The following is a 24,365-nucleotide window of genomic DNA, read 5'->3' as shown; positions in this document are numbered from 1 at the left end:
AGATAAAAGGTAACACATAGAAAGTTGCAGAGCCAGAATTCAAATCTAGGTCTGTCTGACCCTGAAAATCATCTGCTGTTCGCAGGGGAAAGAAGCTTTTATCCATATCAAACGAAATTTCTAGGATGTAACAGGATGAGTATTGTAGAGACCATCTCCAAACTTCTGATGATGAGGGCTACGTCTCTCATCCTCCCTCATGACTCGGGTGGGGTGGCAGGCAGGAGAGACTGTCTAAGATTTAGACTATTAGAACATAGTATTAAAAAAATTCAGATTGACTATATATATGTTTGACTATTGTAAAAATGTTACATGCTGCTTACCTAAAATAATAAAAATGCCGACCAGGAAAGAAAAAAAGTATATTTGATATGCCAACAGAAACAGTTTGCCCTTTTGTTCTTAATAATAACCTCCTCAAGTAGAAAATTTGGCATGTGTTTCTTTCCTGCCCGAGGGCATAGTGCATCTGACTTGCTCTGTATCTTGCTCTCATGGTGTGGCTGAATTACTTTTCATCACGATCCCATGATCTACACTGAGGGAACTTTTACACTCTATAGATGCTGTGGTGCCAGACATTTGTTAGGTGTGATCTTTGTGGAGAATGTTCTGGAGGGTCTCACTACTAAGAGTAGCTGAATCTTCTGCAAGTCACTCCATCCAGTGGCTGTTGTGAATTACGTAACTGACCAGTTTACCTTTTTTCATGTTGGCTCTAGAAAACTAAGGGCCAATGTGTGACCCATTCATAGGGTTTTGATGGCATGGGTATTTTAACCTGATTCTTTGTTTTGTTTTATATTCCCTTTCTTCTTTTTACTTTTCATTTTCATTCAATTACACCTTGGTTTTTAAATGTCCTTATGAGCCTTTCTGAGATGAGGTAGAGGTATAAACAAGCAAACAAATACAATATCTACAGCTGTTTCAACAGTAATACAAACATTTGGAATAAAGAAACTCAAGTGTTTGGGTCTGAATTTGAAATTGGAGGAATAGTTACAAATAAATAAGCCAGACTGACTGTGTCAAATCATGACTTTCTGTTCATGTTCAATCTGGTACCTTCATTCATTCATGCTTTTATTCAAATAGTAATTTTTGAGTAATGTGCTGAGTATTGAGGAAGGTCTTACAGAGGATTAAAAAATGCAAAATATGGGCTCTGTTCTCTTGACAGTACATATTTGTTAGGGCCCACAGTTACCTTAAAGCATTACCTATAGTATGATGGTTTTCATTATTTATATTCATCATAATTAGAAATAGACTTGTAGAAAGGCCCATAGAATGGGGAAACACTTAAAAAAGAATAGTCATGTGAAGACCTTTCAATTGGAAATTGGAGAAAACTGTTAGATTTCTTTGTTCAAATAATAATATTCATATGTAACATTTATTGAGTGCTTATGATGTGTCAAGTATTATTCCAAGTTTATATGTTTTGACTCATTTAATCCTGACAACTGCACCATGAAATAGATACCAATCCTGACCCCATTTTACAGTTGAGGAAATGGAGACACCAAAGGTTAAACAAATTGGTTGAAGTCATGAATGAATAAGTGGAGGAGCAAGGATTCTAAGCCTGGCCATCTGCCTTATGGAATACTGATCTTCCTATTTAAAATGAAGACACTAAAAAGTTTTTTTAAGTTGGTTTTGACTATAATCCCAGCATTTTGGGAGGCCAAGGCAGGATGATTGTTTGAACCCAGGAGTTCAAGACCAGCCTAGGCAACACAGTGAGACTTCATCACTACAGAAAATTAAAAATTTAGCTGGACATGGTGGGGCATGACTGTAGTCCTATCAACCTGTGAGCCTGAGGTGGGAGATCGCCTGATCCCAGGAGTTTGAAGTTGCAGTGAGCTATGATTGCATCACTGCACTCCAGCCAGTTCAGCCTGGGCAACAGGATGAGATCTCATTGCTAAAAAAAAAAAAAAAAAAAAAAGAAAGGATTTGAGGTCCTGCTTAATTTAAATATAAAAAATAGTAAGAAGTCCTTTTCCATAAACAAGCTTCTGATTGAAGTCAAGGATCTATATCTTCAGAATAAACATGGTATTTTAAGAAGCTGGTTCAACCTTTTATCCCTTAGTGCCATTTTGTAAAGAGGCATCAGTAATATAACTAAGTTTCTCTTATCTGAGTTAAAAGTTCAGACTTTGTCATTAGGCAGACCTGGGTTTTAGTCCTTACTTTGACACTTACTACCTGTTACCCGTGTGTCCATTTGCTAGACTACTTGAGGCCTCAGTTTACCTCTCTGTAAGTTGAAATAATAACAGTAACCCTCTTGTAGGATGATAGTGAGGATAAAATAAGTTAGTATAAATCAAATGTTTAGCACAATGCCTGGTAAATAGTGAGTGACAAATAAATGTAAACTTTTATATCACGAATAAAAGCAATAATGACAGCAACAACAATAATACAAATCATATAAGGCTATGGAGCGGGAACATACATGCCCCATAGCAGGGACCTGTGATCACTCCAGCGGCATAGGCCCTCTGTCTGCTGCTCAGACTCACCAAGAGCATGTGTAGCTTAAAGCTTTAACCTGGGCACTCCCATCTCTTGGGACCCACATGGCTCCTTCTTCTTTCTTTCTTCAAATCAATGCTCAAATTTCATTGTATCATGATGCTTTCTTTCCCACCACATATAAATAGCATCCTATGTTAAATTCCCTATGTTCCTTTTCCAGTTTCATTTTTCTCAGTTTCATGTTCACCAACTGGTACATTATATATTTACTTGCTTGTATCTTGTGGGCAGATTTTTGCCTATGATGTTCATTACTGCCTGCCCATCACAAAGAATGGTGCCTGACGCATAGCAGCTGCTCAATAAATATTTCTGAAATGAATGGCTGTAAGAGGAAATGTTTCTGATAGACTGAAGTAGAAATAGCAGTGTGGAAACCTTTGCACACAGGCCAGGGCCTTTGCACTTGCTGTTCCCTCTGTCCAGAATTCCTTTCCTATCCCTTAGGGCCATCGTGTAGAAGGGCAAATTCCTGTCTTGGGGACTTCACACTTGCTATTCCCTTGGCCCAGAATTCCTTTCTTATCCTTTATAGCCATATGACCTGCTTTATCACCTTAATTGGTCCTCATTAATGGTCCCCTCCCCAGATAGTCTTTCCTGAGCCCTGCAATTAAAATGTACACCTTTCTCTCTATCCCCTTATTCTTTTTTGCTCAGCACTTTTCACAATTTGGAACAGTTTATTTGCCTACTTCTTCCCATAAGATGTCAGTTCCATGGATGCAAGCATTTTGACTACCTAGCTCATTTCTGGTTCTTGGCAGAGAGGTGCCATCAACATTTGTTGAGTGAAAGAATGAATGAAGGAATATATAAAATGATCGCAATTTTGTTAAAAAATATATTGATGTATATAACATTACATAAGAATATATCAAGTGGCAATGGTAGAATTAGAGATTTCTTTTACATAAGCTTATGTATGTAAAAACTCATTTTATAATTAGAGCAAATAATCAAGGCACTGGCCAATGGTTTTCCCAAACAAAACTTCACATGGCAAAATTTGCCCTTACAACAGCAACAAGATTTTAATTAGATCAAATAATAATGTAATTAAAATTGAAATTTTTACCATCCTCAGTAAATTTTTGAAAATCATATCAACAATGTTCATGTACCACAGAGCAATAAAAATAGAAATCAGTGCTAAGAAAATCACTCAAAATAATACAATTGGATGGAAATTAAACAGCCTGCTCCTGGATAACTTCTAGGTAAATAATGGAATCTAGGCAGACATCAATAAATTATTCAAAGATTAGAACAAAGACACAACATACCAGAATCTCTGGGACACAGCGAAAGCAGTGTTAAGAGGGAAGTTTATAGCACTAAACACCCACATCAAAAAGTTACAAAGATCTCAAATTAACAACCTAATATCACAACTAGAGGAACTAAGGAAACAAGAGCAAACCATCTCCAAGCCAGCAGAAGATAAGAAATAATCCAAACCAGAGCTGAACTGAAGGAAATGGGATGTGAAAAACCATACAAAAGATCAATGAATCTTAAAGTTGGTTTTTTGAAAGAATTAATAAGACAGATAGACTGGTAGCTAGACTTGTAAAGAACAAAATAGAAGTTCCAAATAAACACAATCAGAAATGACAAAGGGGATATTACCACTGACTCCACAAAGATGGAGTGGAGAAACTACTCAGAAACTACTATGAAAACCTCTATACGCACAAACTAGAAAACCTAGAAGACATGGACAAATTCCTGGAAATTTCCCAAGATTGAACCAGGAGGAAGATGAATCCCTGAACAGACTAATAATGACTTCTGAAATTGACTCAGTAATAAAAGGCCTGCCAATCAGTAAAAGCCCAGGACCAGATGGAATCACAGCCAAACTCTACCAGATGTATAAAGAATTGGGACCATTCCTACCAAAACTATTTCAAAAAATTGAGGAGGAAGGACTATTTCCCAGCTCATCCTATGAGGCCAACATCATCCTGATAACAAAACCAGGCAGAGACACAATTAAAAAAGAAAACACTGTTCATCAGGCCAATATCCTTGATGAACATAGATGTAAAAATCCTCAACAAAATACTAGCAAACTGAATCCAGCAGCACATCAAAAAGCTAATTCACCATGATCAAGCAGGCTTTATCCCTGGGATGCAAGGTTGGTGCTACATACACAAATCAATAAATGTGATTTACCAAATTAACAGAACTAAAAATAAAAACCACATGATCATCTCATTAGATGCAGAAAATGCTTCCAATAAAATTCAACTTCCCTTCATGTTAAGAACCCTCAACAAACTAGGCATTGAAGAAACATACTTCAAAGTAATAAGAGCTATCTATGACAAACCCACAGCCAACATCATACTGAATATACAAAAGCTAGAAGTATTCCCCTTGAAAACCAGAACAAGACAGGAATGCCCTCTCTAACCACTCCTATTCAACATTGTGTGGGAAGTCCTAGCCGGAGCAATCAGGCAAGAGAAAGAAATGAAAGGCATCCAAATAGGAAGAGAGGAAGTCAAACTATCCCCTTTGCAGATGATATGATTCTGTACCTGGAAAATCTCATAGTCTCTGCCCAGAAGCTCCTTTATCTGACAGACAACTTCGGCAAAGTTTTAGGATACAAAATCAGTGTACAAATATCAGTAGCATTTCCATACACCAATAACATCCAGGCTGAAAGTCAAACCAAGAACACAAGCTCACTCACAATAATCACAAAAAGAATAAAATACTTAGGAATACAGCAAATCAGGGAGATGAAAAATCTCTACAATGAGAATTACAAAACACTGCTGAAATAAATCAGAGATGACACAAACAAATGGAAAAACATTCCATGCTCATGGAGAGGAAGAATCCATATTGTTAAAATAGCAATACTGCCCAAAGCAATTTATAGATTCAATGCTATTCCTATCAAACTATCAATGACATTCTTTACAAGATTAAAACAAAACTATTTTAAAATTAATATGGAAAAAATGAGCCTGAATGACCAAGGCAATTCTAACCAAAAAGAACAAAGCTGGAGGTATTACTTTACCCAACTTCAAGCTATACTATAAGGCTACAGTAACCAAAACAACATGGTACTGTTATAAAAACAGACACATAAACCAATGGAACAGAATAGAAAGCCTAGAAATAATTTCACACACCTACAACCATCTGATCTTTGACAAAATTGTGAAAAGCAAGGAATGAGGAAAGAACTCCCTCTTCAATAAATGGTGCTAGGATAACTGGCTAGCCCTATGCAGAAGATTAAAACTGGACCCTTTTCTTACACCATATACAAAAACAACTCAAGATGGATTAAAGACTTAAATTTAAACCCAAAACTATAAAAACCCTAGAAGATAACCTAGGAAATGCATCCTGGACATAAGAGCTGGCAGAGATTTCATGATGAAAACACCAAAAGCAATTGTGATAAAAACAAAAACTGACAAATGGGAACTAGTTAAACTAAAGAGCTTTTTTTGGACAGCAGAAGAAACTATCAACAGAGTAAACAGAAAACTTACAAAATGGGAGAAAATATTTGCAGACTGTGCATCTGTCAAAAGTCTAATATCCAGCATCTATAAGGAACTTAAACAAATCAACAATCAAAAAACAAAGAACCCCGTTAAAAAGTGGGCAAAGGACATGAACAGACGCTTTCAAAAGAAGACATACATATGGCCAAGAAGCATATGAAAAAGTGCCCAACATCACTAATCATTAGAGAAATGCAAATCAAAACCACAAAGAGATACCATCTCACACTGGTCAGAATGGCTATTATTAAAAAGTAAAAACAAAACAAAACAAAAAAACAGATGCTGGCAAGGTTGCAGAGAAAAAGGAATGCTAATACACTGTTGGTAGGAGCGTAAACTAGTTCAACCATTGTGGAAAGCAGTGTGGTGATTCCTCAAAGAGCTAAAAACAGAACTACCATTCAACCCAGCAATCTCATTATTGGGTATATACCCAAAGGAGTATAAATCACTCTACCATAAGGACACATGTATGTGTATGTTTACTGCCACACTATTCACAATAGCAAAGACATGGAATCAACCTACACTAGCTAAAGAAAATGTGGTACATATACAGGACAGAATACTATACAGCCATAAAAAAAGAATGAGATCATGTCCTTTGTAGCAACATAGATGGAGCTGGAGACCATAATCCTAAGCAAACTAACACAGGAACAGAAAACCAAGTACTGCATGTTCTCACTTAAAAGTGGGAGCTAAAAATTAAAGTACACGTGGACACAAGGAAGGGAACAACAGAAACCAGGGTCTACTTGAGAGTGGAGGGTGGGAGGAAGGTGAGGATCAAAAAACTACCTTTTGGGTTCTGTTACCTAGATGACGAAATAATTGGTACACCAAGCCCCCGTGACATGCAATTTACCTATACGATGAATCTGCACATGTACCTCTGAACATAAAATAAAAGTTTAAAAAAAGAATTGAGAATTTTTACATCAAAGGGTTTCAGACAGCAACCTCACAACAGGTTTTCTTTTCTTTTTTTTTTTTTGAGATGGCGTTTTGCTCTTGTTGCCCAGGCTGGAGTGCAATGGCACGATCTCGGCTCACCACAACCTCCACCTCCCAGGTTCAAGCGATTCTCCTCCCTCAGCCTTCCCAAGTAGCTGAGATTATAGCCATGTGCCACCAAGCCCGGCTAATTTTGTATTTTTAGTAGAGATGGGGTTTCTCCATGTGGGTCAGGCTGGTCTCAAACTCCCGACCTCAGGTGATCTGCCCACCTCGGCCTCCCAAAGTGCTGGGATTATAGGCGTGAGCCACTGCACCCAGCCATGGCAGGTTTTCTTTAACTAAGCAAAGTATGGTGATGGGGAGACTAGGTCAAAAATTCTGAAGAATATATAAGCCTGAACTTCTGTATTTTTTGGCTTTGGGCATTGTATTAGTCCTTTCTTATGTTGCTATGAAGAACTGCCAGAGACTGGGTGATTTATAAAGGAAAGAGGTTAAATGGACTCAGAGTTCTGCATTGCTGGGGAGGCCTCAAGAAACTTACAATCATGGCAGAAGGTGAAGGGGAAGCAAGGCATCTTCTTCACAAGGCAGTAGGAAGGAGAAGTGAAAGCAGGGGAAATGCCAGTTGCTTATAAAACCATCAGATCTCATAAGACTCACTCATTAACATGAGAACAGCATGGAGAAACTGCCCCCATGATCCAATTACCTCCATCTGGTCCTGTCCTTGACACATGGGGATTATGGCAGTTAGGGGATTAAAATTCAAGATGAGATTTTGGGTGGGGACACAGCCAAACCATATTAAGCATAAACCTGAGTTTGAGGATACCTTGCAGAAAGTGAGATGTGGGAACAAATAACCTGACACCACTTCCCTACATTGTCCCACCTCCTGCTGAGGCTCCCCACTGGCCAAACCCAGCTGGTATCCAGAGGGCAGGGAGCCCATTGATTTGACCCATGCCTGTCCCCTCCTGGCACAGAGCATGATGTAGAAGGGCAGAGAGGAGATCAGAAGCTCTCCAGAACTGGTGGCTGTTTTAGGAGCAGCAGCAGTAGCTGCTGTCCGTATTTACTGAGTGCTTCCTATACGCCAGCACTCTGCTAAGTGCTTACCAACATCATTCATCTTATGACGTAGGTACTACATTATCCCCATTTTACTTATGAGGAAACTAAAGCATAGACAGCTTAAATACTTTCCTTATAATTGATGGCTGGCTTGTCTACCACAGCGTATCACAAGCTTTCCAAAAATTTGGGAGAAAGATGATTTTTGGTATATTTTATGTGAATAATAACTTTAAGTGATGTTCTCTAAATTTTAGTCAGTTTGGTACTACCTAAACAATTTTGATTTTGTCCACATATCTCCTGTGTTATTGCTTAATATTTCATTTAAAGCAAATTATGCTTTTTACATAGCTATCTTAGAAATTATATGTACTACTTAGAAATTATATGTGTACTATAAATGTTAAACCAATATAGCTTCTCACTGATAGAAGAAAATTGCAAGCATAAATACTATACAGTAAAAATAAAATATCTTAAATTCTAGCTGGAGATGGTTGTCCAAGGCTTTGGAGCCTAGAATTTTTATACTGGGAGATTAACATGTGTTAGAGGAGTATTAATGAAATACCGTCATCTGTCACTTAACCGACAGGGATACGTTCTGAAAAAAAGGTGATTTCATCATTGTGTGAACATCATAGAGTGCACTTACCCAAATCTAGATGGTCTAGCCTACCATATGCTTAGGCTATGTGGTATGGCTTATGCTCCCAGGCTACAAACCTCTACAGCATGTGAATGTTCTGATTACTGCAGGCAATTGTAACATGATGATGATAAGTATTTGTGTATGTAAACACATCTACACATAAAAAAGGTACAGTAAAAATATAGTATAAAGGATAAAAAATAGTACACTTAGATAGGGCAGTTACCATGAACGGAGCTTGCAGCACTGGAAGTTGAATGTGAAGGCCTAGGACAGACATTATTGTGCACTACTGTAGACTTTATAAATTCTGTATGATTAGACTACACTAAATTAATTTTTAAAATAGAGTGATTATGCTACCATAACATTATGATGGCTATGATGTCACCAGGGGATAAGACTTTTTCAGCTTCATTATAATCTAATGGGACCACCATCATATATTGTTGGTGATCCATTGCTGACCAAAACATCCATAATGGGGTACATGACTGTACTAGCATGATCTAAGCAGAAGGCTTGCAGTTAAATTGAATATGGGATAACTTTCTCATTTGTGTTATTTAATGCTATGTAATGGTCTGCCTGAGTAGTATCAGGAGAAGTAAATGGCTCACACTTGAGAAGTGGATTTCTTCTGATGGTTCAAACAAGAATCCAATTGTTTACAAATATGATCCCTGTCAGTCTAAAAGAGATAGTGTGGATATGGAAGACACATTTTTAACATTTACTGCTAGGTTATCATACATACATTAGGCCTTTGAAGACCTTTTCTGCTCACTTTTCATGTGTTATTTATTCCCATAGAGTGAAGAGGCTGCCCTTCAAAATGTGCTTCAGTGCTTCCAAAAGGTGCTCATACTTTTGTTCTATGTGGTCCCCATAAAACCCCAAAAATAGTCAGAGGAGGCATCACTGGCCTTATACTACAGATGAAGAAACTGCGGCCAGGAGTATTAAGAGATTTATTTGCCCATAGTTCATAACATGGTTCATAAATATACTCTGAGCTATTCATCTCAATCGGTACCCAAAGAACTTTGACAGGAAACCTGGATGTGTTTCTGCAATATGTTTTAAGTATCTGTTCAGTGAACCAAGAAACAGCTTCCTCAATCAAGGAAGCAGCCTGGTTTAATGTTGGCTGGGTGGTTTGTTTCCATTCAGTTTGTTGCCCTCACTTTTCATAAGTTGCTGTTAGCAAATATATTTTTTTCTAAATGTAATTAATAGTATGAATCTTGGTGTCTGGGATCACCCTGGGGTATAGAAAAGGGAGTCATCTTTGGTGACAGAAAATTTAGCATTTCAGACCAGGTAAACCTGTCTCCATCTCTTTCTAATAGTGGCACAAGCAACTCCACTGGATATTGATAAAAAATAAACAAATATTCAATTTCTACCTATTAGTACATATAACCAATATTTTAATCCAATGACTTTATTGTCTGTTTTGGCTACTTGATGGCTTTGTTATTTATTTCTGTTGCTGACACTTTTATACAGAGAGACTACACTAGAAATTGGACAGTTCAGAGAGTCACTCTCATCCACACTGTAAATGGATCACTTTGCTAATTCAGCCTCCAAGAATTTTAGAATGACACTATGGATCAGGAAACACAGAAAGCAAATAGCAAGATGGCAGCTCAGCTGGGGGCAGAGCTTTGGACTTGTCTTGGAAGGGAGCTAAAAAATGGATAGACAGGACAAGTTTCTGTTCTATCCACTTATGGGATTGTTTCCTTATTTCATTTGAAGTGTTAATAATAATGACAACTGACTTCCAGGGAGCACCTACAGTTTTCAACGAAGATCGTATGACCTTCACAACAGCTGTGTGAGGGAGATTAGATTCAGTGATGTGTCCAAGTTGTCACAGGTAACTGAGATTTGAATTGAGGACATTGGGTTCCCTGTTTAGTGAGTGTTTTTTCATTATGCCCAGGTTTTCTGAAGTTTGGGTTGCCTATCCTGGTGGGAACGAGCAATAAACAATATTGCTACATCCCTACATAGAGAGAAAGGCATTCTCCTTCCCAATTTCCTTTCAATCTGACTAGTAAAGTCTCAGTTGGGTGCTACACCATTTTCAATGCTTAGTTAACAAGTGCTCATCTTTTCATGTTTTTTCGTCAAAGAAAACTGGCTCCAGGCTCAGATCCTTCAAGTAAGCAATGGTATACCTATGTAGCTAGAATACAGCACTGTTTATTTTCTATTGATTCATTTGTATGTTTGTCTTCTAACTATGTTAATAATGCTGGATTTCTATATTCAATAGTGGTCCAGGGTCTTATTCAAAAACACATTTATTTAAATTTTAAAAATGACTTAATTTAAAGAATAATAATTGTGGCCCTGGTGGTAAGAGCAGGGAATGAGGACGCCTGAAGAAATCTAATGCAAGCCACAAATAGGAGCGGCATATGTAATTTTAAGCTTTAAAGTAGCCACAGTTAAAGCAAAGAGAAATTGATGCAATTGATTATATTAATATATAACATATTAATACAACAAACCCCAATACATCAAAATTATTATTTCATATAATCAATCTAAAATTATTAGTATGCCATTTTACTTTTTTGATACTAAGTCTTTGAAACGTGATGTGTATTTTACACTTACAGTACATCTTAATTCATAATAACCACATTTCAGTGCTCAATAACCACATGTTACTAGTGCTATCCTATTGGACAGCATAGTTCTAATCCACAATTAACAAATGGAAGCACATTTATATCCATGGTCAAGTGACAGTGATGCCCCTTTTCCTGTTTGGGTTCATTAATGCCACACTTTCTTTTGGTAGTTTGGTCTGAGATGGTCCAAAGCTAAGCCATCCCACAGCTCAGCTTTGACAAGGCCAGCATGCCTCCCACATTCCTCTTGGCCTGTAGAGTCCCATAGTTGGGTTTATATGATCACCCAATTCATTGCCTCAGTGGTCTGGTCTGAAAGCAAATCAGTGTGACCAAAGGGAGGCTTGGGCCCTCTGTGTTGGCAGCCCAAAGAAGGAGGTGGGCGGCCCACAGGGGCAATCCTGCCAAGCATGAGCTGCATTTTGTTAGGTGTTGGGGGAAAGGCTGGCTTGACCACTCTGTTAACAAGACATGGCAGGCTGGTGGCTGGTAGATGATGAAATAAGGAGGATGAGAGAGGGGAGGAGCAGAACAGGGAAGAGAAAAAGGGAGAGGGGGAGACAGGAGGAGGATAGGGAAGAGAAAGTGGAGGGGGAAGGGGGAGCATTGGGGAAGGAGAAGGGGGAGGAGGGGGAAGGAAGTAAAGAAAGGGAAGAGAAGAAGGGGGGAAGGAATTGAGGATGAGGAGAGTGAGGAGAGGGGAGCACGAAGAAGGGAGAAGGAAGAGAAAAAATAGGAGGAGGAGGCAGCGGCAGTGTCTGAGAGCAGGAAGAGAGCTCCCTCTTTCCTCCAAAGGAGGGAGATATACCTAATGCTAAATGACGAGTTAATGGGTGCAACACACCAGCATGGCACATGTATACATACGTAACTAACCTGCACATTGTGCACATGTACCCTATAACTTAAAGTATAATTATATATATATATAAAACTATATATATATAAAACTATATATAAAACTATATATATAAAACTATATATATAAAACTATATATATATAAAACTATATATATATAACTATATATATAAAACTATATATATATAAAATTATATATATATAACTATATATATATAAAACTATATATATAACTATATATATATAAAACTATATATATATATAACTATATATATATAACTATATATATATAAAATTATATATATATATATATATATATATATATATATATATATATATATATATATAAAATAAGATTCAGAAGTCCCACCACCATCAGGCACTTATCACACACTAGGTACCGTGCAAAATGCTCTATATGCACCATTTCTTTTACTTTACAACAACTCTATGAAGCAGATATTACTACTGTTTGTATTTTATGAGTAAGAACACAAACCCAGTTTCTGGAGGTAAATGAAATGAGCTTAGACCAGATTTGGAGTTTTTGGTCCCAGGAGACCAGTCCCTCTTCTTCCTGACATTGAGTGTGCTTAGACAAATCCCACTAATCCCCTAGACTTTGTAATCTTTAATGACAAATCCATTGGCAAAATGGCTTAAACCTGCTGGGTGAGCTCTAGACCCCACTGAAAGCCAGGCCTGCTCAGGGCTGGTGTTTTAAATAAGCAAAAGGAATTCTGGGGTAAGAGTGGTCAAGCCATCAAGTTTGCTTATCTTTACTAGAGAGGAGAAATTGAAGTCAGAAAGTCTCTAATCATGTGCAAATGGCCAGCTCCAAGGAGCTTGGCATGTGAGTTAGGACTTTTCCATTTTGGATGAGAACTTCCCACCCTGTTTGTCTTTTTGATGGTTATCACCCATCTAATAAGCCAAGGACTCAGGGTAGCAGCCACTTCATTTGCAAAACACTTACTTGGAAAAGTGCCTCTGAATTGCCTCTGGTTCACACCCTACCTCAGTTTTTCTTTCCGACATCCAAGAGCTGGAGGCTCCACATTTATCCCTTACTTGGGGTCTGTGTGTTTTCTCCAAGCATGGTTTTCTCTGAGCTCAGGCAGAGCTCTCTGCAGGAAGAGGCCCACAGAAGTGGTAAGGGACAGAAGACCAGGCTGCCTATATTTTCAATATTGTCATAGCCGGAATAAATTTCAATTAATATTATTGCTGTTATATTTTTAATTGGGAGGTAGCAGTTTCTAAGGAGATGATTTTGTGACCCCTTCAAGAGATGATCATGATGATAATGATGATAGTGTTAATGGTGGTGTTGGTAATGGTGATGATGATGAGAGCTGCCAACACTTAGAGAACACTTATTGAAGTTTTACATATATTTGCTTCTTTAATTTCCTAACAACCCTTTTGGGGTAGATACTATTGTAATCCCATTTTATAGTTGGGATAAATTACTTAAACCCAGTTTGAAAGGTGCACAGCCAGGATTTCAACCGAGGGAGTTTGGCTCCACAGTCTATATTCTTAATCTTATAAAAACACGATTGCTTTTAGAAGGCCATGATTGTTTAGGCTCATAACAAAAATTAAGCAATGATATAAACATGGCTATCATTTATCTGTTACTATGTATCAGACACTGAACATTCCACGCATTACTCATTTAATTCTCATAATGACACTTTGAGGTGACTATTATTGACTGTATTTTACAGGTGAGAAAGTCAAAATTCAGAAAGATTAAGTGATTTGCTAGACATCTCAGAGTTACTAAGCTGCTAAACTTTGGTTGCAACATAGGTTTGCTAAGCTCCAAAGTCTGTGTCATTCACTGGAAGGTGAACCTCATTATATTGAATGAAGGTCTACCATATGTAAGGTATGATGCCTTACCTGTTCCACCTCATTTCATCTTCACCACAACCCTGCGAAGTAGCTGTTAGTTTTTCTATTTTACAAATGAAGAAGGAAAAGATCAGAGAAGTTAAGTAAATAGAGAGGTTGGGTACCAAACTCAGGTCTGTTTGACTCCAAATCCCATTGATTTTTTTGTTTGTCCATTGTTGTTTCTGTCTCTTTTCCAAGTCGTCTGTTTACACTTTATTATCTTCCCTGCTATGGGCTGGGTACTGTTCTAAAAATGGAAGAGAGTGGGGGAGACCAGCCAAGGGAGATCTGTTCTCCTCCCTCCAGTGGCCTATACTCTGCCTGAGTTGTTTCATGTAAGAACTGCAAGATACACTATTGTCACACTGCCAATTAATCAGGATTTTGCAAAAAGAGAGATGTAGTGGATGCTGATGTTCTTCTGTTACAAGGTCTGGGTAATAGTCAATCATCTTGTTTTATGCGTGAAGAATCTGGCTGATGCTTGAGAATTAATGTAGGGTTTCATTGCTTTTTCCCCGAAGTTAAATTTCATTATGATTGACATACTGCACTTTTTCTTTTCTAGACTGTTCCCAGAAAACTTTATCAATTAATCTGTGGTGGCTTAGCTGTAGAACAGATACCTTCTATTTCTTGTTCTTAACTTTTCTTGTGAAAAGAAGATTTTTAGATCCCCTGCATCTCTCTCTTTATTTCAGTTACAGGCAATTGATTTTATAATCTTGGTGCAAGAGGGAGGTATTCCTGGATGTTTGGTGAACTCAGAATAGATGCAAAGTCTTCAATAGCTTTCTGCAATACTGTCGTAAATCATATGTTAAAAACACTCCTCAAAACATGATTTAATTTTCCATTGATCCTGCCTAATCTTTTTATTACAACTAGCACAGACCTTTCAAAGAAAGTTAATAGTAACATTAGCAAATTAAGAGCTGTTCAAAATAAATTAATAATATTAGTAGTAGCATTAATATTAATAGCTCTATTGATTCTATGTTTACTATGGGTCAGGTGCTGTGCTAAGCCCTCTACATTCATTATTCTGCTTGATCTTCATTGAGAATTTTTTATGTTGGTCTTATTATATACAGGTTTTTAGAATAGGAATTATCACATAGTGGTTAAGTCTGCCGTCTTTGAAATCAGGCAGTCCTGAGGTCGAATTTCAATTCTTTCTAAGTAGCCCTAGAACCCAATGAAGCCTCAGTTTCCAACTGTAAAAAGGGGCAATAATGAGATACATTTTCATAGTATTTTTGACAAGGACAAAAGAAGTAATGCAATAAAATGCTTAGCCCAGCTCCTGAAAGTTCACTCTATTAATTAGTCTTGATACAGGAAATTCAGTGACATATTATAGCTAAAAATACAATATAGAAAAGTATATAGGCATTATCCAGTAGGTTTTGATGGCCAAATACATTAGGTGGGTTTACTCATTTATTTATTTATTTATTTTTTAATTTGTGTCGTATTTATTTAACTCAGTAGAACATAAAGTAGCATTCTTATTCCTGATAATTCCTTAAACATCCTAATAATTCCTTAACTACTATTTATTAGTTATATTACAATAGAATAGAGACAATATTTATTATCTCCTTCCTACAGGTTCCTAACCATCCACTTAACTTAGTTTCTCCCTTGCCCTTTTAATTCAGCATTCCCATATTCACCTGCCTTTATTTTCTGATTTTATTGTATCCTCAGTTTTTTTGTCATCTTTTCCTCGGTCATTTTGCAATTGGGTTTGATATGATCTAATTTTATTCTGGTAATTTAAATATTTGTTTTAATCTCGTTATATTGGTTTCCTAGTACTGCTATAAAATTATCATGAACCAAGTGGCTTAAAACAACAGAAGTTTACTCTCTCACCCTTCTGGAGGCCAGAAGTTGAAAACCGAAGTGTTAGCAGGGCTAATTCTTCCTGGAGGCTCTGAGGGAGAATCCCTCCCATGCTCCTCTCCCAGTTTCTACTGGCAGTCCTTGGCATGGCTTGGTTTATAGATGCACCGCTCCAGTCTCTGCTGGTCTTCACGTCACCTTCTGTGTGTATCATTGTCTCTTCTTTTCTCTTATGGACACCTGTCATTGGATTTAGGGCCCACCCAAATACAGCTTGATCTCATTATGAGATCCTTAACTGAATTACATCTGCAAAGACCCCTGTTTCAAATAAAGTCACATTCACAGGTTCACAGGTCCTGGGTGGGCATATCTTTTTTTTTTTTTTATTATACTTTAAGTTTTAGGGTACATGTGCCATGCTGGTGCGCTGCACCCACTAACGCGTCATCTAGCATTAGGTATATCTCCCAATGCTATCCCTCCCCCCCTCCCCCCACCCCACCACAGTCCCCAGAGTGTGATATTCCCCTTCCTGTGTCCATGTGATCTCATTGTTCAATTCCCACCTATGAGTGAGAATATGCGGTGTTTGGTTTTTTGTTCTTGCGATAGTTTACTGAGAATGATGGTTTCCAATTTCATCCATGTCCCTACAAAGGACATGAACTCATCATTTTTTAGGGCTGCATAGTATTCCATGGTGTATATGTGCCACATTTTCTTAATCCAGTCTATCATTGTTGGACATTTGGGTTGGTTCCAAGTCTTTGCTATTGTGAATAATGCTGCAATAAACATACGTGTGCATGTGTCTTTATAGCAGCATGATTTATAGTCATTTGGGTATATACCCAGTAATGGGATGGCTGGGTCAAATGGTATTTCTAGTTCTAGATCCCTGAGGAATCGCCACACTGACTTCCACAATGGTTGAACTAGTTTACAGTCCCACCAACATGTAAAAGTGTTCCTATTTCTCCACATCCTCTCCAGCACCTGTTGTTTCCTGACTTTTTAATGATCGCCATTCTAACTGGTGTGAGATGATATCTCATAGTGGTTTTGATTTGCATTTCTCTGATGGCCAGTGATGATGAGCATTTTTTCATGTGTTTTTTGGCTGCATAAATGTCTTCTTTAGAGAAGTGTCTGTTCATGTCCTTCGCCCACTTTTTGATGGGGTTGTTTGTTTTTTTCTCGTAAATTTGTTTGAGTTCATTGTAGATTCTGGATATTAGCCCTTTGTCAGATGAGTAGGTTGCGAAAATTTTCTCCCATGTTGTAGGTTGCCTGTTCACTCTGATGGTAGTTTCTTTTGCTATGCAGAAGCTCTTTAGTTTAATTAGATCCCATTTGTCAATTTTGGCTTTTGTTGCCATTGCTTTTGGTGTTTTGGACATGAAGTCCTTGCCCATGCCTATGTCCTGAATGGTAATGCCTAGGTTTTCTTCTAGGGTTTTTATGGTTTTAGGTCTAACCTTTAAATCTTTAATCCATCTTGAATTGATTTTTGTATAAGGTGTAAGGAAGGGATCCAGTTTCAGCTTTCTACATATGGCTAGCCAGTTTTCCCAGCACCATTTATTAAATAGGGAATCCTTTCCCCATTGCTTGTTTTTCTCAGGTTTGTCAAAGATCAGATAGTTGTAGGTATGCAGCGTTATTTCTGAGGGCTCTGTTCTGTTCCATTGATCTATATCTCTGTTTTGGTACCAGTACCATGCTGTTTTGGTTACTGTAGCCTTGTAGTATAGTTTGAAGTCAGGTAGTGTGATGCCTCCAGCTTTGTTCTTTTGGCTTAGGATTGACTTGGCGATGCGGGCTCGTTTTTGGTTCCATATGAACTTTAAAGTAGTTTTTTCCAATTCTGTGAAGAAAGTCATTGGTAGCTTGATGGGGATGGCATTGAATCTGTAAATTACCTTGGGCAGTATGGCCATTTTCACGATATTGATTCTTCCTACCCATGAGCATGGAATGTTCTTCCATTTGTTTGTGTCCTCTTTTATTTCCTTGAGCAGTGGTTTGTAGTTCTCCTTGAAGAGGTCCTTCACATCCCTTGTAAGTTGGATTCCTAGGTATTTTATTCTCTTTGAAGCAGTTGTGAATGGGAGTTCACTCATGATTTGGCTCTCTGTTTGTCTGTTGTTGGTGTATAAGAATGCTTGTGATTTTTGTACATTGATTTTGTATCCTGAGACTTTGCTGAAGTTGCTTATCAGCTTAAGGAGATTTTGGGCTGAGATGATGGGGTTTTCTAGATAAACAATCATGTCGTCTGCAAACAGGGACAATTTGACTTCCTCTTTTCCTAATTGAATACCCTTTATTTCCTTCTCCTGCCTGATTGCCCTGGCCAGAACTTCCAACACTATGTTGAATAGGAGTGGTGAGAGAGGGCATCCCTGTCTTGTGCCAGTTTTCAAAGGGAATGCTTCCAGTTTTTGCCCATTCAGTATGATATTGGCTGTGGGTTTGTCATAGATAGCTCTTATTATTTTGAAATACGTCCCATCAATACCTAATTTATTGAGAGTTTTTAGCATGAAGGGTTGTTGAATTTTGTCAAAGGCTTTTTCTGCATCTATTGAGATAATCATGTGGTTTTTGTCTTTGGCTCGTTTATATGCTGGATTACATTTATTGATTTGTGTATATTGAACCAGCCTTGCATCCCAGGGATGAAGCCCACTTGATCATGGTGGATAAGCTTTTTGATGTGCTGCTGGATTCGGTTTGCCAGTATTTTATTGAGGATTTTTGCATCAATGTTCATCAAGGATATTGGTCTAAAATTCTCTTTTTTGGTTGTGTCTCTGCCCGGCTTTGGGGTTTACTCATTTATTTAGCAAATCTCTATTGAGAATCTACCAGGTGCCAGGTCTTGGAAATATGGTAGTTAATAGAAACAGACATGGTCCTAGTACTCATTCTGGTAGAAGAGAGAGCTGTTAATCAATCACAAAAGAATGCATAATTGCATATAGTGATAATAGCTTTGTAGGAAAAGTCCTTGGTGTTTTGGAAATTTAAAAAAACAATATCTGGGGAGTACTGAACAGCCTAGGGAGACAGAAAGTGACACAGATCTGGTTGCATCCAGGATCTTTTTAGGTTTTGTCCTTGGATGGTTCTCAAAGCAGTCTCAGGACTCACGGTGAATAATGAATACAACACAAAATGGCTTATCTGGAAGGCCTATGAATTGGCCTCTAGAGGGAGTGTTGGACTCTTCTTTACTACCTGCTTGTTCCTTTCCTAGGAAAAATGCATGTTGATACTGGGTTGGCCAGGACCAAAGACTCCTTGGGCTATTTGCTGGAGAGGTAGGTATTAGCATGAGGAGAAGACTGCTTGTTTCTTGGGAATTTGGGTGTCTCACATGGCTGCTGAGACTATTGTCTCTCTATACTTCCCCACCTGCAACCCTATCCCTCTTAGAAAGATAAGCTTGAGTGCAAGGGGTAAAGAGGTTTGGGGTGGATCAGTTCACACAATTAAATGTTAGTAGAAGAGTACTCCTGCCTTTCTGGACCCTGGTACCCTAGCAATTTGCTAGGAAAGCTTAGGAAAGCAACGAGGGTTGTTGAGTGTTTCTAAATGAATTACTATGTCATATAGAAAATAGCATCCTTTCCAAAAAATTGATTATTGGTTTTGACATAACTGGGAAAAGAATAAATTTGTATAGTTAGTCAAAAGTGAATCTGGAAATTTGGGGATGCTTATTGAACACCATATCAATCTTTCTTATGTTTATGCATTTTTTTTAGCACTTCTGAAATATTTTGGGGACTGCCATTGAATCAGCTAGATGAAAATGCTAAGATTTAGTTAATTAACAACTAGCCGTATCTACTTGACACAAAACATCTGGGCATTATAAATATAGCTGGAAAACACCAGATGTCAGGCAGCATATAGATGAAACATCTGGAGGAAGTGTAGCTTACAGGAGACACAGTGGAAGGTTGGAGTCAGAAGCAACCAGACTTGAACTTCATCTCTCACATGTACTCTAGACTACAATGTTTTCTCATCAACCGAACAAAACTACCCCCTCACAATTTGTTCTTTTGTATCTATACAAACCATCTGTGAAGGTGTATTCCAAGACGTATGTATTGAAATTCATATATGTATATATGTGATATCACACAAACAGACACAAACTGATTTTTTTAAAAAACAGATAACACAACAAAGTTTTTTTCTCCATACAATGGCAGATAATAGAAGCATGGATAATTAAAATATTATACAATTCAAAGTAATTTTTAAATTTTTCTAAGTATGTTGAACTTACCCCACCAGTAACCTATATTTGAAAATGGATTATGTTCTATGGGAAATTTTTTCAAACAACCACACTGGGAAATTTTGAGAAAATGACTGTGCATGGTTGCAGTTGCACCCGTCTGTAGTCCCAGCTACTCAGAAAGCTGAGACGGGAGGATCCCCTGAGGCCTGGAGTTTGAGGCCATAGTGTGCTATGATTGCACCTGTGAATAGGCACTGCTCCGAGGTAATCCAACAATTACCTCAAGGATACCTAAATTACCTCAAGGATACCCCATCTCCAAATTAAAAAATAAAACAAAACAATAATCAATAAATAAATTGCTAGCAGGCCTTTCAAGTGCCACCTTCTGAATCAAGTAAGATCCTCTCTGAACTTTGCTTTATGTTCTTTGCAAACGCCTTCCCGGAAACCAGAAAAAATTGCACATCTTTCTCCACCAGAATTACATAATATTAAAATGGGAAGAAACTGCTGATATAAATTCAGGCTGTCAAATACTCCTTTGAAAACATAATCCTATTATTAACTTACTATTCTACACTACTGGTAATCTCCCAGATAGGACATGGAATAGTTGGTATCTGTGGCTGGAAATAATGCAATGAAGAAGCAAACCTGATGATGGATTTTAAAGTTCTCTGGTCTTTGGTGTTCAAATCTGTAACATGGGACAGGAGTACTTCCCTTACAGGGTCGTTGTGAGGATTAAAATTAAATACAAATGTTAAGCATGGAGACTGGAATATTTTAGCTGTTGCATTAATGATCGTGATGATGATGGTGAAGACAGTGCAATCATCAAGTGACATGGCCTTATTTAGTCACGGCCAATGACATTTGACCATGAATTCAACTGAAATAACTCAATTTTTTTTTTCAAACTGGATTCTGACGTTAATTTGAAAATAGGATCACTCTGTTGAGGTTAAATAATTATGGCCCAAACTTTTCCAACCTAAAGTGTTAAGTTACTGGTTCTTCATAGGTAGAGCTTCAAACCTATTTGGCAATAACCAGGCATTTAAGGGTATAGGTGGAGTCTTCGCATGTGTGAATATTTCTTTTGGTTGCAATACGTGATTGGAAAAGAACTTGTGTGACAGTGTAAAGACATGCAGGGCCATCTGAAGTTTTGCGTAGGAGAATGAGCCATTAATATGATCAAGGAATGCCTTGATCATGTTGCTACATTGCAAAAAGCACTGTGAGGTCCTTGCGCATAGGACTATCTTAATCACCTGTGTCCCTAGAGCCTAGCCAGATATCTGCTGTTAGTAACTTATTAGTATATATATATTATACTTATATATATATATACTTACACACACACACACACACACACACACACATTGAATCTGCAAGAAGAAAGGGAAGACATTTTACATTTGGTAGAGACGCTTAAAGGAAAAATCATTAGGCCTCAAATATCGGCATGTTTCTTAAATTCCCTCAAGGATACAAGAAACTCATAATAAAGATAATTCAATGGCTGGGGATAGGGATGGAAGAAGGTTTTTTAAAAAGTTGTTTTTATTATTTTTTCTTTGTGTATGGGCTTTCCCTGGTATGACTTTTTAAGTGACTAAATTTGAAAATTCTGGCATGATTTTAGAATAGGCATTTTTTTTCTGCATTTGACCTTTGGCAATTACGAAAAATTTTCTGTTTGGGGGAAGGATTGTGACTACATTTCACACTTGCTCCCACCAATTTTTCTTTTTTTTTTGCAAATGAGCAAGCGGCATTTACACAGTTAGGTTCATGAAAAGAGCTGCTATTTTTCAAGCATTCCTTATGCCTTTCTAGAATTGAAGACCCATTATTCTGTCATATATCAACCCATCTGTCAGCCTGCAACAGATGGTTAAGATGAAGAACTTCTCAAATACCAAGGAGGAAATTATCCTGTGCTTTACCATCTACAGCTTAAATTCAGTCTGACTTCAAAATATTCCTTTGCCACTTCCCCACTTATCATGTGAAGTGGAAAGTGAGAAAAAAATATTGCATTTGAATTACAAATTAGAAGCCATTCCTCAAGAAGATGACTAGTGGATTCATAGATGTTTTTATTCTGACAGATGGAAGGAGAAGATAGACCTGGGTTCTAGGCTCAGTTATGTTACTTCTTAGGCACATAGCCTTTGGCAATATATTTGACTTCATAGGCTTTTATTTCCTCAGTTGAAATAATAAAGAATTTATACCTTGTCTTAGAGGGTTATTGCAAGAATTAAAAAGTAATAATCTTCTGGGACGATATCTTGCACAACTAGGCATCGGATAAATGACAGATATTATTATTTTCCCCATCAGTTCTCCCCTTTTGTTCTTGTCCACTATTTCCTAAAAATTATTCCAGATAAAAGATTCTGTGTCTCTGGTATGCAAGATTTGAACAGGTGCTTAAAGAAAAGTGGGAAGTTGTGGATAAAGCTTACGTGTATGTGTCTGTTTCTCTGCAATGTGTAGTGTTATACAGTGCAACCCCCCAAAATGTTGTGTTGTTATTTGGTGTGTGTGTGTGTGGTGGGTGCGGGGCGGAGGGGGGGGGCATGGATATACAGAAGGAAACATGTGACTGAAATGCCATTGCCTTCCAGGGGCATGCATGCTTTTCGTAAATCTGAGAGTACCAGGGACTTCTGTCCAATCCCTCCCAAAGAAAGTGATCATATATTTCCTTGGTTTTCATTTCATCCTGGATGAAAAAAATTTGTAATTTTTACTCTGCCTAGGCATAAATAGTAATTGAATCAAAGCTTATGTTGCATGCTTTATTTAGGTGATTTGACTTATTTTTGCCAGTTCTATCATATTTCCAATATATAACTGTTAGAATTTCACATTCACAGTTTTTTTGCAGTGGGAATTTTTAGGAGTGTAGGCTCCCTGCCCCCAGAATTATTCTTTTGTAAATGCTGCTGTGTGTAATGGGAGATAATGGCAGGCCTGAACATTTTAAGAAGCAAGATGTGTCCTAGAGAAGGGCTCTTCAACTTTATGCACGACAAAGCTTCTGGACATCTTGTTGAAATGCAGATTCTAATTCAGTAAGTCTGGAAGAGGGTCTGAGAGTCTGCATTTCTAACAAGCTTCCAAGAGATGCCAGTGCTGTCACTGGACATACTTTGAGAAGCAAGTCTTAGCCTATGAGGAAACCTCCTCCATAAATACTTCCCAGTCTACTCCAGAATCCACTACAATCTGTGGCCCCATTTGCATACATTGCCATTCTGTCTCATTTGCATTTAAGTAGGTCTCATTCTGCCAGTTCAACTTGAAAATAACTCTATTCCTACTTTCCCTCTTTTAACATTTATTGGGTAATTTTTCTATACCAGGCATTGTGCTAAATATTACCCACGGACCCGATTTCAACCCAGCTTCTCACTTAGCACCCAACGTAAATCCTGAGCCACATGACTGTATCTCCCTAATACACATAGCATCTTCCCCCTTTCCTCATATTTCTATTTTTCCAATCCCAAACCCAGACCACACTTGGTTTATTGATGGCAGTTCCTGTATACCCAGCCAAATCTCGCCAGCTAAATCTGGTTATGCTGTCGTGTCCCATACCTCTATTATTGAGGCTGCTGCACTTCCTCCCTCCACTACTTCCCAAAAAGCTGAACTCATTGCTTTAACTCGTGTGTTCTCTCTTGCCAAAGGAATGCACATTAACATTTACAGTGACTCCACATATGCTTTCCACATCTACCATAACCATGCTGCCATTTGGGCTGAAAGAGGTTTTCTCACCACACAAGGCTCTTCCATTATCAATGCCTCTCTAATGAAGGCCCTCCTTAAGGCTGCTCTCCTGCCGGCCAAGGCTGGAGTCATTCATTGTAAAGGACACCAGAAACTAACTGATCTCATTGCTAAAGGAAATGCCTATGCCGACAGGACAGCAAAAGAAATAGCAAATGCCTCCACACCCGCAAATATTCCAGCCCTCACTCCAAAAGGCCAGTATTTTTCT

At 37.9% G+C, this 24,365-nt stretch overlaps 1 protein-coding gene across 4 annotated transcripts in view; it reads right to left on the bottom strand.

The window, feature by feature from the left end:
* SYNPR (synaptoporin) overlaps nucleotides 1-24,365 on the bottom strand; it is a 416,321-nt gene that overhangs the window by 8,544 nt on the left and 383,412 nt on the right. The window lies entirely within an intron of this gene.

The sequence above is a fragment of the Homo sapiens genome, chromosome 3, assembly GCF_000001405.40.
Source record: "Homo sapiens chromosome 3, GRCh38.p14 Primary Assembly".
Taxonomy (NCBI): domain Eukaryota; kingdom Metazoa; phylum Chordata; class Mammalia; order Primates; family Hominidae; genus Homo; species Homo sapiens.
Note: the sequence above shows the minus strand (reverse complement) of the source record. Positions and strands in the feature narration are given on the sequence as shown.